The 15,869-nt window shown below is 36.4% G+C and overlaps 1 pseudogene; it reads left to right on the top strand.

Moving 5' to 3' along the window:
- Positions 468 to 6,524, top strand: TRIM51JP (tripartite motif-containing 51J, pseudogene; annotated as a pseudogene).

Raw genomic sequence — 15,869 nt, forward strand, 5'->3', positions numbered from 1 at the left:
TATTTTAAAGAGATGGGCTTCTGGGTCCCTCTCTAAAAACACATCATAGTGCCCTCTGTCCATCTTCTCATATTTTTTTAGCCAATGTAGGTTTTGTACTTCTCTTCCATAGTCATTCAGTAGTTACTTGAAACAGAAATAGGGACAACCTTGATTTATTCTAGACAACTTAAGACTAAAACCTGAGTTTCATATCGACATCTAGGGAATAGGTTCTTGAACAGATTTGCATTATGTTATGGGCCGGAACTACGAATAGAAGGGGTTGTGAGTCATCTAGTCAGTAATGTCTGCTATAAAGCCTGAAGGCTCTCCTTGTGTATGAATTTTTTTATTTTTGTTACAGAGGAAATAGTTTGTTCTGCTTTAATCAGCACTGTCGAGAAGAAAATATAGCTATCACATATCACCACATGTACATAGATTTTCACCAACCCAGACCACAAAATGACATGTTGCTCTTCCTTCTTCAGAAACATGAATTCTGGAATCTCGCAAGTCTTCCAGAGGGAACTCAGCTGCCCCATCTGCATGAACTACTTCATAGACCCAGTCACCATAGACTGTGGGCACAGCTTTTGCAGGCCCTGTTTCTACCTCAACTGGCAAGACATCCCAGTTGTTACTCAGTGCTTTGAATGCATAAAGACAACACAGCAGAGAAACCTCAAAACTAACATTTGACTGAAGAAGATGGCTTCCCTTGCCAGAAAAGCCAGTCTCTGGCTATTCCTGAGCTCTGAAGAGCAAATGTGTGGCACTCACAGGGAGACAAAGAAGATGTTCTGTGAAGTGGACAAGAGTCTGCTCTGTTTGCTCTGCTCCAGCTCTCAGGAGCACCGGGATCACAGACACTGTCCCATTGAGTGGGCTGCTGAGGAACACCGGGTAAGTGATGCCTCTGAAGATCTATTTCTCCAAAGGACACATGAAATTCCTGTGGGTCTATTTTCTTGGAGATTGGATGATGCCATCTCTGTGTCCCTTTAAACATCTCTGTTATGAGCTTCCTTGGCTTCAACCCTCTCAGATTTGACAAACATGAAGAGAAACAAAGGAAACACTATTTCCTATAGGCTGATTTGTGTCTCATTCTGGGCCCCTTCATATATCAGAGTGTGAATGATACTTTATTGTCTTCATTGGTGCTCCAATTCCTGGCTCTTTTGCAGGAGAAGCTCCTAAAGAAAATGCAGTCTTTATGGGGAAAAGCTTGTGAAAATCACAGAAACCTGAACATGAAAACCACCAGAACCAGATGCTAGAAGGTTAGCCTTGTAATACTCTACCTTCTCTAGGAACTTGCACTGGGCAAATGGGTGACTCTTAAAATAGGAACTTGATCTCAACCCATAATGTATCTGGAATTCAATAAAAAAGGAAAAAACAGTTGAGAAAAAAATAGCCTATTTTTTATGTAAGATATTGTGATTCTTTGATAGGATTTCTAACCAAACCACAGATGTTACCCAAGCATGCTCATCTGTTTCCATACAAACCTATAGCAATACACCAACAAACACAAGAAACTGGGCCATTTCACACTGCTCCCCATGGGCTGCCTGAATAAATCCTGGGCACAAGAGTTATTTGGCAGTCATGGAAATTTTAGGTGAAACTTCTGAAGCTGAGTCAGCATGAATTTGAATCCTGGTGGGCAAGTATATTTGAAATGTGAATCAAATTTCAGACAGAAGGAGCAACAATGCAAATTTAGGGAAAGCATGAAATTAAGCATCTGAACTAATTAATATTGAATAAATCATAATGCATAATGGGAAAAGTGAGAAAGGTAGACTTGTCTTGATGAAGACATAAATATGCAAGAAATATGGCAACTAGTATTTAATATAAGGAGCACTCTAAGGACTTGAGAAGAATTCTAGAAATGTTTTCTCTTTGTAGATGTTTCTCTTGAGGGTATGATATCTAATATTAATTCATTAATTCATTCTAATATGAATTCATTGAAAATATTTTATAAGTACCTAGTCTATGTCAAATATCAACTTAGAAAATTAAGTAGTAAAGAAGGAAGAAAACATACAAATCTTGCAATGGAAATGAGAGAAGCAAATGGCCATCATGCAGATATGTGAAATACACACATACACATATCACACAGATACACATATATATTCCTCATATATATCCATATATACATATATATGAAGAATATATGAGTATATATATGAGAAATATATATATGAGTATATATATGAGAAATATATATATGAAAAGAATTCTAGGTATAGAAAACAGCACGTGCAGTAATATTGCATTTGCATTTATTTGGGATGTTGAGGAACCACAAAGCAGCCCATGCTGCAGATTAGGGTGAGGTTGGAAGAGAATAAATGAAACCAATTAGACTATGTTATGCTGGGTGAAATGCATTGAGCTGACAACGCTAGTATGAGGTCATTTCATCATTTCTCATATAATGGGTTTACATAACTTGGCCCAATCCTCCAAAATAGAAATAATGGTTTTCTATCTAGTCAATATAGCTCAATAGTTTAATTCTTAAGCAAAAACTGTGTTTTCTTTGTATAAATGTGGGTTGGAAGAGAGAAATCCATTTTTATATAACTATCTTAGAAAACATTTTATCATTAATCAAGTAAACATAACTGAAACAACTATGTTGTTATTAACGCAGAAAAAAGGAGAGGAATAACATTTTGTGGAATCTGAGAACTGACAAGACTGAGGGCTAAAATATTGGATATTCAGGATGCTAAGAGGAATCAGTGAAATTCAAAAGAAGATGGATACAACATTTCTATTTTGACCAATTGTCACTGCAGGATTATGTGAGTTTAAGGATAGAAGTAATCAGAGCTGAATATCAGAAGATGCCTGCATTTCTCCATGAAGAAGAGCAACATCACTTGGACAGGCTGCAAAAGCAGGGCAAGGACATTTTTCAGCAACTCAATGACAGCAAAGCCAGAATGGAACATGCGAGGGAGATTTTAAGAGGAATGTATTAGGAGCTGAAGAAAATGTGCCATAAAGCAGATGTGGAGCTACTCCAGGTACAGACTGACCATGGGGTATCGGGATGTTGAACATTCACATGCATGGGTGTTTTTCCTCTCTCCTGAAATCCATCTCCCCCTTTACTTCCATGATTTGTTTCCAAAAACACATTTCTATAACTAATGCTGCTTTGATGGGAGGGTATAGCCTCTCCTAGTAATTCTACCAGACCTAAGGTCCCTCCTACTTTATCCACCAGCAACAAAACTTTGTGGGACGGTCAAGGTAACAGCCCCCCAAAATATTTACCATCAAAAGTCAATGGTATATTTAGGATTTTTGAAAGCAGATAAAATGAGAAGTGATTCGTTGGCATTTAGATTAATTTGGATGCATGGCACGATGGAGAAGTTGGAAAATCTAGGATCACACTAGTATTATTTTGGGGTCCACTCATTTTGGCAACAGGGCTTAGGGAAGATGACTGAGTAGCATTTCTATGGTTACAGCAGAGCGTAGACTCTGTGGGCCTCCTCTCCCTTCACTTATAAAGAGAATGTCTTCAAAACTTAGACTTTATCAGAACATCAATTCATGACAATATGATAGACTGGGATTTTCACAAGAAAAGAAGAGAAAATGCTTTCCAGGAGGGACAATGGTAGGGAAATAATATCTTCAGAAACTGCCTCCAAATCTCACACTGAACTTAGTGGAAGATGCATCTTGTGGAAAACACTAAGCCTTTATCTTTTTATAGGCTTTTGGAGACATATTACACAGGTGAGAGTGTACCAATATTTTAGTAGATGTTTGTTCAGTTTCCACAAATATCAAGCAGGAACTTTGATATTGAAGGCATAATTGATTCAGCTATTGATACTACTTTATCCTGGTTGTACTTTATCCATCCCCCACCCCATGTAGTCATCTATTTTGTTACCATACTTAGTTATTTTATTAGGCAGTTCAATGAAAGTTCTGCAAAACCATAAAAACAAAAAATAAATAAATGAAAGAATAAAGAAAGTGAACATCTCTATTCCTAATTTCCTTTTTGTTGCTCAACAGCCTGCATATTTGAAGGAGAAAATGTTACATTTTCTACATGGCTACAAAGCCAACCAGGGGAAGCCAGAGAGAAAAGTGTTTGAAAGTATCTTAGCAGTGAAAAGTGTTGATGATTTCTTGTTTATATTTAAATATATAATTCTGAAAAACAGATGAAACAAACTGTCAGAATGTTAGAACTGTGTAGGCCTCCAGAGAACCTGAGCTATAAAAGGCAGATCCCCCTGCCTGGATCAAGTTTCAACACCCTGGCCTTGAAAAGGAAGCAACGAATACAGCAGCCTTCAAATAACCCCACTTTCCCAGACAGTGATTTCAGGGAAGCCTGGTGAGTTCTGGAACCAGAATTTCACTTTTGAATATTCTCCTAGCCTTAAGACTAATGATCCTTACTAATTTGGAGCAATAAGAAGAAAGATCAGATTGAATTCTCACTCAGATAGACTTTTCCATCATGCCTGAAAATCAGGAACTGTGAATAATAATGAATTTGAAAAACAAAATGATAATTTTGGAATTAGCGAATGTGTGGGTTAAAGGGATTCTCATGAAATGTCTTTTGAATAAATGTAGTGATTTTTATGTGTGTGTGTGTTCTTTCTTTTTCTGTGGATGTAGTAACTGCATCTTTCTCCTTGCAGGGGTGAGTCCCTGCTGCTGCAAGTGCCCAAGCCTGTGAGCTCAGTGCAGGGCCCATCACTGGACTGCTGGACAGTCTCAATGGATTCAGAGGTGAGTGTCAGCCCATTGGCAGAATTTCTACAATGAATTACTTCTTGTTAGAATCATGAGCATAATATTTTACCCTTCATCAAATCCGTTTTTCATTTCAGAAGGAAGTGAACAATATGACTATGCAACCCTTTTATATCTGTGTTTCTATTTATACTCCAGTTTATAACTTGAAGGGTAAAACATAGTGAAAAACAATTATGTTCTGGGCTCACATGTATTGAGTTATATATTGGGTAAAAGGAATGACATAAGAAATAAAAAATTGAGTAAGTGTACTAATGGTGAGATGGAAGTTTAATAATCCAATGTTACATAAAAATTGTACATTCCTTTACAGTATTTTATTTGAATTGTTAAAAACGGTTATCTGGGAAATAGAGTTCACCACAATTTGTTGGAGTATTTGTATTTACTTACAATAAATATATACTATTGATATAATGTAAAAATTTGACTTAATACTATGTAAAAATAGAAATGATAATTTCAGTTTAGTTACAACATGCAGAGTTATGTGTAAAATCTAAAATTCAGTTTCTGTCTAGAGCTAGCAGGGAAGTCCACAGAGTGACCGGTAAAAGATTTTGCAGAAATCTGCCTTAAGTTATCACTTATAATTTGGACATATGGACTTTTATCCAGTTATCTAGAGTAGTGCTTGAGTAAGTGAAACTCTTCCCATTCTTGCCAAAGTTATATCACTAGTATTTAAGAACAAGAAATATTTTAATAATAATGACCTTGATAGCTAAAGGGCAGTCAGGGCATATAATATCTCACTTTCACATTGGAAATTGGATTAAAACAGGCTGGTCTTATATTTGACTCTCAATTTTTGAGTTTCCAAATTTTCAATGTCTGTTTTTAGGGTTTTGTTTTTCCTGTAGAGAGTATTAATCTTCCTTGTCCTTTATTAAATGTTATAATCAAAATTATCCTGTTCTTGTAACTTCAAATTCCTTGGTAAAGTAGATACTTGGTAGAACAATTTTTCCCTCAAGAATTTTAACTTTTATTATTTACACGTGTCCATACTTTTTTTAAAAAAATTTGCAGTTGATATTACTCCGCATCCTGAAAGAGCCAATAGTCATATCTTCCTGTATGGAGACTTAAGAAGCATGAATGTTGGATGTGACCCTCAAGATGGTCCCCGCATCATGGCAACATCTGAATGTTTTCCTGAGTAGAGCGCTCAGACTTTCACATCTGGCAAATATTATTGGGAGGTTCATGTGGGGGACTCTTGGAATTGGGCTTTTGGTGTCTGTAACAATTATTGGAAAGAGAAGAGACAGAATGACAAGATAGATGGAGAGGAGGGACTCTTTCTTCTTGGATGTGTTAAGGAGGACGTTCACTGCAGGCTCTTTACCACACCCCACATGTGGTGCTATATGTTCCAAGGCCTAGCAGCCGAGGAGGATTATTCCTGGATTGTGAAGGTAGAACCATGAGCATTGTTGATGTTGATCAAAGTTCCCTTATATACACCATCCATAATTGCTCCTTCTCACCTCTTCTCAGGCCTATCTTTCACTGTAGTCACCTCTGACCAGAGACAAATTGGTAATGTGTCCACATGCTGTGTAAACCCCTTTATCGCAGGAAGTCCTCCTTTTTGTGCCTCATCAAAGAGGACAAATAAGTTATATTTAATGTGTTTAGTTGCCTTCTAATGTCATCACAACTCATTAATACGGTTTCTATTAAATATGGTGAAAAAACTAAAACCATGTGTATTGGTTCTTTGTTTAATCATTTTTGGAAAATCATTACCCATGATGGATGGCATAGAATATATTCTCTGGTTTTTCATTATTTCTGAATGTCACAAAGTGAAATCAGAGATGACAGAGGTGTCTAAATGAAGATAAAATCAACGGAAGAAAGTAGGAATCTTGTGCTTCTTCAAAAAACTTGGAGTAAAAAGACTCAATGGTAACCTGGAAATATTTTCTTTCTCTTCATCTAACAATATTATACTTATTCATGTGTTTTATTTCTGAATCCATACCTTGAGGTAATCTTATTTGACCTCCTATGCTGTGCTTATCTTTGTAAATCTCATCTTATACACAAATGCTCATGCATTATTAAGAGTGCTGTTCTAAAGTGAAATTTACAAGGTGATCAGGACAATGCTGGATCAATTAAATATTCAAATGGAAATGACTGAATACTGACCCCTATCTCAAACCATACAGAGTTCATTTCCACATGGATTCATGTTGTGAAGGTGAAGGGAACATAATAAAATATTCTCATAGAGAAAGATTTCTTGACCTGGACAAAAAAGTAACAATTAAGAAGGAAAATTTAGTTAGTTTATATCAAAAATAATGACTTCTGTGTTTCAAAATATACCATCCAAGAATTAAAATGGAAACCAAGAGTGGAGAAAAATATTTATCTCAACTTATATGAAACAAAATGCAATACATGTGATTAATGAATGTCATAAATAAAAGAAAATGAACCCGATATAAAATTGGGTAAAATATTTGAACAGGCACTTCATAAAATTGGAGGCATAAATAACTGGCCAAATATGAAAAAGGGATTACTTTTATTAGTCCTCAGAATTATAAAAATTAATCCACAAGTTGAACTACAGGCCTTCATAAAAATTAGCAAAATTTAAATACACATAATAACCCCATCAACATGTGGGCAAAGGATATGAACAGACGCTTCTCAAAAGAAGACATTTATGCAGCCAAAAGACACATGAAAAAATGCTCATCATCACTGGCCATCAGAGAAACGCAAATCAAAACCACAATGAGATACCATCTCACGCCAGTTAGAATGGCGATCATTAAAAAGTCAGGAAACAACAGGTGCTGGAGAGGATGTGGAGAAATAGGAACACTTTTACACTGTTGGTGAGACTGTAAACTAGTTCAACCATCGTGGAAGTCAGTGTGGCGATTCCTCAGGGATCTAGAACTAGAAATATCATTTGACTTAGCCATCCCATTACTGGGTATATACCCAAAGGATTATAAATCATGCTGCTATAAAGACACATGCACACATATGTTTATTGCGGCACTATTCGCACTAGCGAAGACTTGGAACCAACCCAAATGTCCAACAATGATAGACTGGATTAACAGAATGTGGCACATATACACCATGGAATACTATGCAGCCATAAAAAAGGATGAGTTCATGTCCTTTGTAGGGACATGGATGAAGCTGGAAACCATCATTCTCAGCAAACTATCACAAGGGAAAAAAAACCAAACACCACATGTTCTCACTCATAGGTGGAAATTGAAAAATGAGAACACAAGGACACAGGAAGGGGAACATCACACACCGGGGCCTGTTGTGGGGTGGGGAAGTGGGGAGGGATGGCATTAGGAGATATACCTAATGTTAAATGACTAGTTAATGGGTGCAGCACACCAACATGGCACATGTATACATATGTAACAAAACTGCACGTTGTCATGTACCCTAAAACTAAAAGTATATAAAAAAAGAAAGAATCAATGAAAGTTATTCATGACTGGAGGGGTATAAACTGAAATACTTTTTGGCAAACTGACTATGAGCATTCCTTATTGGCTAGATACTCTAATTCTAAAATATATTCCACTGACTGCCTATGTATATTTTGAGATAAACATAATGTTGATCTTTGCATCAATTTTCATAGTAGCTCCAAATTGGAGACAAAATAAATATTCATCGACAGTAGAATTGCTAAATAAATTGTGATCTCATCATACAAAATAATTCTATAAAACAAAGAGAATAACACCAAAATGCAACAAATTAATGAATCCCAAGTTTAAGAAAGAAGTTTAAGAAAAAGAATTGAAACACACAAATGTTATATTACAGTGTTTTATTTATATAAATTGCAAACTCCATTAATTAGTATTAGAAGTTAGAATGTTGAATAATATTTTAGGAAGGTAATGGTTAGGAAACGTAAAAATAACCAGGATAAGATCCAGGCAGCATTGCAATGAAGGAGAGAAACTATGAGTTTTTTCATGAAGAAGAGAATGATATATGTATTGTTTAATATTGTAACATGTAAGAAAAGTTTGAAATAGATAAATTCAATTTTATGCCTAATTTTTCAAATGTGTAAATATATAATTTCTTTTATGATAAGTTAATATCAATCAACATTAAGACATAAACCATGCTTTTTTGTTATTATACTTTAAGTTCTGGGGTACATGAGCAGAATGTGCAGGGTTTTTACATAGGTATACATGTGCCATGGAGGTTTGCTGCACCTGTCAACCCGTCATTTACATTAGGTATTTATCCTAATGTTGTCCCTCCCCTGGCTCCCCACCCCCCGACAGGCCCCGGTGTGTGATATTCCCCTCCCTGTATCCATGTGTTCTCATTTTTCAACTCCCACTTGTGAGTGAGAACATGCAGTGTTTGATTTTCTGCTCTTGTGTTAGTTTGCTGAGAATGAGGGCTTCCAGCTTTATCCACGTACCTGCAAAAAAAATATGAACTCATCCTTTTTCATGGCTGCATATTATTCCATGGTGTATATGTGCCACATACATTTTTTTACAGTCTGTGAAGAGATTCACAGAATATTACATTTAAAGACCTGTAATTACCTCCTCATCTCTCCTGTGTAACACAATCTTAAACTACAAAGGAAAAGATAAGGAATGTCATTGCCCTTGGGACATTGGTAAAACTAATTGAACTTTGGAAACGGGAAAAGAAAAAAGAGGAAAAAAAAATATGTGGAGGATTTAGACCTACATCTGAAGGTGGGACAGGATCACTAAGAAGGTTCCAGCCAGGCGTGGTGGCTGACGCCTATAATCCCAGCACTTTGGGAGGCTGAGGCGGGCGAATCACCAGGTCTGGAGATCGAGACCATCTTGGCTTTAGTCTCTACTAAAAATATTAAAAAAAAAAAAATTAACTGGTCATGGTGGCTGGTGCCTGTAGTTCCAGCTAACTTGGGAGGCTGAGACAGGAGAATGGCGTGAATCCGGGAGATGGAGCTTGCAGTAAGCAGAGATCATGCCACTGCACTCCAGCCTGGGCAACAGAGCGAGACTCCGTCAAAAAAAAAAAAAAAAAAAAAAAGGATTCCAACCATGCAGACCCAGAAACAGTGTCAACCTATGACTGAGCTTCATCAGAGTGACAGAAAATGCTTCTCCATCCTCATCTCCACCCCCAACTAGGCTCACAATTGTTGAGTAACAGGTCAAAGCAGTGTCTTCTGGGGGACTGAACAGAATTTGGAAGGAAACTTAAATGTGAGGATACAGCAGATATTAAGAAATGCTGCTGAACCAGTCCAACCTGAAACACAAAGTAATGCTAGATGAGCGTGAAACTTATGGTGCCCTGGAAATAACTCTAAGAGGGAAAAGTCCCAAAACCAAATCAACTCCTGACTAGATTGATTCAACCTCCTCCCCCAAAACACACACATACAGCCTAGTAAAAGGGAACACATGTGGGTTTTGATTTCTACATTAGTCTACTCTACATAGTTCACTTTTTGGGTAAAACTTACCAGACATGTATAGAAACAGAAAAGATACATAAAGGAAACACTGTTAAGAGACTAAGCAATAAATAAAGCCAGATTCAATGTGGCAGAGGTGTTGGAATTATCTTTCAAGTAGATCTTATGCGTACTGTTCTAGAAGCCCTTAGTAGGATATAAAGTCCCTTTTTTATTATACTTATATGACAAGAGTCATTTTATCCTCTTATATAAAAGATATTTCCAATTCACATTCATCTCCATATTGGCAGTTACATTTTTGACACTTTACAAATATTAGTCCACCGTCTTATACTTACATTTATGATTTATGATTGTGGAGCAGTCTGTTGTCATTCTATTAAGTGTTCCCTCACAATGAAACAGTTTATTTTGGCTGCTTTTAAGAGATTCTTTATCTTTGGTGGTGGTTTCAAACTTAAAATATCATAATGAATCAGCCACCAAAGACAGAGAAATACTAAAAATCAGTCAAAATATATTGTTTTGCACATTCAAAACAAAGTAAATTTATGTTTTACACATCCAAAATGGGGATTGTTTGGCTTCCTGAATTCAATAATGTATTTGTTTACTCTGAAAAAATTATCAAACATTATATCCTTGAATATGTACTCTCCTCATCTTCTCTACTTAGCTCCCCTTTGTGCTACAGTCAATCACACATTATGCTGTTTATAAAGGACATACGTGATACTCTCATCCTCCATATGTCACTACTACTCTCCTAGTTTACCTCTATTTGTCCATCTGTGAAGCCCTCATGACATCTCTTTACATCTATTATCCAGTTCACATTTTCTGCAGCTTCATTTAAGTTGCTAAGCAAAGTTTTCACTAAACAGCAAATTTTACTTATTTCACTTTTTATTAATATAAATTATAATTTTTATTCTTCAATGACTGCCGAATGTGAAAAAATTCATGTATATGTTATATATATTTACATATGTATGTGTTATATAGACATACACAAAATTGCTATTGGTAACGGTGGTTTTCATAGGAGTCTATAGCTACTGGAGATTTCATTGTTCCTTAAAGATATTATATTTCCTTAAAAATATTTTCTTAAAGATATTCTATTTCTTAATTTATAATAAGGATAATTCTTATGCTTTTATTAAAAACATAAATTAATAGGCCGGGTGCAGTGGCTCACATCGGTAATTTCAGCTCTTTGAGATAATGAGGCAAAACGATCACTTGAGCCCAGCAGTTTAAGGCTGCAGTGAGCTGTGATTCCACCACCACACTCCAGCCTGGGCTACAGAGCCAGAAAATATATATATAATATATGAATTGACAGTAATACATTAATACATTAAAACCAGAGATCAAGTCTTAAAAGCAACAGCAAAGTGCATTTCCAGTCTAGTTCAGTGACTATTAGAATTAAAGCCAATTTCAGGCAAAACATTTCCAAAAACATAAGAAAAAAAAAAGAAAAAGGAGAAAAAATATTCCAGACTTCTGAAGACATTTATTAAAATCATAAATTGATGGTATCCTCTTTCCCATCCTTTGATGAGTAAAATATTCAAGTACTCCAAAAATTATCCACAAATTTGGTATTTGAGGGTTCATTTGTTGTAAACTCAGTGGTTCTTGATGAGAGGAAGTTTAAAGTGTGTTTATGGAGATTAGCCAAGGTGTCGAATCAATCATTTCCTCTCTTCTGGTGAAATCTAATCAAGAACCCTAACGGCTATCCCAAACTCCAAGAAATGTACAACCTTTTCAAAATGAGTGTGATTTTTCAGAGATTCAATATAAAGAGGTACAAGGAGCCAAGCTCATTCTTCTCTGGGACACACAGAGTGGCTTTGGAACTGGCTGTGAAGATGTCTGAAAGCTACTACCGCTATATGGTGAGGCCCTGATCCCTGATCAGACTTTATATTATTACTTCTACAGCAAGTATCAGTGAGACCATAAGTATATTTCTAGGGTGAGAACACAGCTAACAGAGGAGGAGTTCCTGCTAGTTTTCCAATCCAAAACAGACTGCCCTACGTTGAATTTTTCAACAAACTGAGCTTGTTTCTATGAAATGATGTCATTTGCTTAATTAGTAAAAATGTTTTTACTCTTATTTTGTTATCCTGTCTTCCTACATACTTGTGAACTACAGTGAAGATTAATTTTACTTGTATCATTTATGTATTCATTAGTTGTTCCTATGTATTCTAAGAACTCAGAAAATAGTTTTCAGATATCTTGCAATTTTATACTTGTATATCCTAAATTTTATGGAGAATATTTTATTCCATATGTTGTGTATAAATGTATTACCTTCAATTCTGAAGGTGGCACATAAATATATGCACAAGACAAAATATTCTATAATATACAATTTAGGTAATATGTTGAATAATTTGAGGGTAATATTGTGTTTTAGAATATACTAAATGCCTCTTTAGCATTTTTGGGTGAAATCTGATCAAATTTTGGGTGAAATCTGATCTGATGAAATTTCACCAAATGTTCAGTAAATAAATATTGCTTATTTATTTAGAAATTATTTTGCAGTGGTGGCTTGTGATTGAGGATTTTCGAAATACTTTAAAGGAGAAAATTATGACATCAAAATGAAATAATGAGAGTAAAATCTCAGTGAAATACAGTTTCCTAAACCAATCACTTTTTTCTTTTGTACTAAATCGATCTTTCCTAAACCAATCACAATGAGCATTAAGAATGGTTTTCAGAATATTCAGGACCCATCATCTATGGTGTAAATTGGTCCCAATTTCATACTCTTAAACCTCAAGCTTTTTGGAGTAAAGTCAAAACTCAACAAAATGGAGGTTTCTTTTCTCCTTTTCTTTCTTTTCTTTTCTCCTTCCTTCCTTCCTTCTTTTTCTTTCTTTTTGTGACAGGTATTGTTTTATTGCCCAGGCTGAAGAGCAGTGGCTCAATCTCAGTTGACTGCAACCTCAGGGTTCAAGCGATTCTTCTGCCCAGTCCCCTGAGTGACTGGGATTACAGGCGTGTGCCACTACTCATGGCTGGTTTTTGTATTTTTAGTAGAGATGGGGTTTCCCCATATTGGCCGGGCTGGTCTCCAACCTGATCTACCAGCCTTGGCATCCCAAAGTGCTGGGATTATAGGTGTGAGCCACCATTTCTGGCCTCTCTGAGGTTCATTTTTCTATACAAAAGAAAAGGGTAGGATGTAGTGCCCTGTGAGTTATGCATGCATCTGACAATTTTACCTACAGATCTGAGAGCTCTCTTTGTGCCTCAGGTTCTATTTTTGTCTTATGCAAAATAAAGCCTATTCTACTCTAGACAGAAGTGTATCATTGAGTCACAACCTGAGTCAAATTTTGCTTTGGTCTTTGTTTCTCAGGGCATAAGATGAAGAAGTTTGAATCATACCTTTCCTAATTTCCTTCCTTCAGGAAATTGGTCTCAGACATCACACAAGCCTTCCAGAAAGAAAGAATCCATCTGCCTCTTCTGTCTGAACTAATGTGTAGACCCCATTGCCACAGGCTGCAGCCCCAGCTTCTGTAGGCCCTGTCTCTGCCTTTCCTAGGAAGAAACCAAAATTCCTACCTGCTGCCCACATGCTGGGAACTGTCACAGCAGGAGGACTTCAAAACCAATATTCTTCTGAAGAATCTAGTGTCCGTTGCCAGAAAAGCCAGTCTCTGGCAATTCCTGAGCCCTAATGAACAAATGCGTGGGATCCACAGGGAGACAAAGAAGATATTTGGAGAGGTGGAAAAAGAGCCTGATTCATTTGCTGTGCTGGAACTCTCAGGAGCATGGGGTTCACACACACTGTGAGGGGCAGCTAAGGAACACTGGGTAAGTGATGGCTCTGAGAGCACTTTGAAAGCTGGAGGATGGCACAGGTAAAGAGATTAGGGGAAGATGAAGAGCATGATGATTAATCTGCTCTGTACTGGATGTCGTGTAGTGCCTAGGTATCAATGATAAAATAATAAATATAATCTGAGTGTGCTTTCCTTCCTGGAGCTTACATTTCACTGAGGGAGTGATGAAGTTAATAATCATTGTAATAATTTGACTACTTGATGCAGTGTTCAAGGCACTGTAAAGAGCTCAATATCAGAAGAGTTTCTGGCTATCCAAACTACAAGTTAAAAAGTCTTTTCTATAAGAAACCTATTTACCAACACTGGAAATAATAGAATAAAACACGTTAGAATTAGCAGGGCACGGTGTCAGTAGATTCCAATTCTGATGCAAGGTGCCACATTATCTGTAAATTAGCCCTGCCTATGATTTTCCTATTAAACTTGCTGCGTTACACGTTGTGGTTCTACAGTCCGAGATCTTCCCAAATCTCTTTCATATCTCATCCCTTGATTTCTTTATCACTGGGGGTCTGAAACCTAAAATGATTTGCTTCTCTGATGTTCACATTCATAGTTCTTTTACAGGAGAAGATTATGAAGCAAATGAGATGTTTGTGGGCAAAAATTCAAGAAAACCAAAGAAATTTAAATGAGGAAAGCAGGAAAACCAACCAGTGGATTGCAAGTATTAGGCCTTTTCCCTCAGAGTTAGCCTCAGACAGACATGCTAGAAATGTATCCACTTATCACTTGAATGGAAATCATCTTGGTAGATTTGAGGAAGATTTTTCTCATGGCTTCCAATCCTGAGGGTACAATGCAGCATTGATTAATGCTCAGGGAGAGTGGTCAAGCTATGGAGTAGGAAGACCTGGTACTAAAAACTAATTTAAAAACACAGAGATCATAACACTGCAAAAAATTATTTGTGAATCAACCATAAATTCCAATGGCTCTCATGTAGGCTTTCAGATATCAATGGATATATATTGAAGAAACGATCAATAATAACCTTTCTTCAGGTGTTTTAGGAAGTCATATAATGAATGAAAGTGGTTTGAGGAACGAATGAATTTGGCTTTCAGTATTATTAAGAAACAATACAAATAAATGAAAGGAAGACAGGAATGATCTATTTCATGGTTCTGTCAAGTGGGAAGACACGAGTTTATGTACTTAGCTTATTGGTAGAATACATGAGTCAGGCTAGGCTCAGTGGTTCATGTCTGTAATCCCAATACTTTGGGAAGACCACTTGAGACCAGGAGTTTCAAACCAGCCTGGCCATCAACATAGTGAGACCCTGATCTTTATTATACAGAAAAGATGAAAGAGATAAAGAAAAGGAAATGAGTCAAAGTGAATAGAAGAGGTATAAGTGGAGGAGGATGAATTCAGAGTAAATATGTCATCTAGGAAATCTAGGTCCCTGCAGTGCTATGTGTAGCTATGGGCAGAGATGACTACAGCTGAGTAGAGGAAGCTGCATTCAGTTCCCCATGAGAAGTAAAACAACACTTAGAGAAACTTACAACCATGATGACAGAAAGATTTTACAGCAACTTAAGAAAAGCAAAAAGACAAAATGGTTCAGAAAAAAAAAACACCTAAGAAAAATCTATAAGGAGCTGATAAAAATGTGCCATAAACTAGATATGGAGCTGCTCCAGGAAAGAACCAATAATATGCCTAAAAAAATTTTGTAGTATTTGAAGTTC

The sequence above is a fragment of the Homo sapiens genome, chromosome 2, assembly GCF_000001405.40.
Source record: "Homo sapiens chromosome 2, GRCh38.p14 Primary Assembly".
Lineage (NCBI taxonomy): Eukaryota > Metazoa > Chordata > Mammalia > Primates > Hominidae > Homo > Homo sapiens.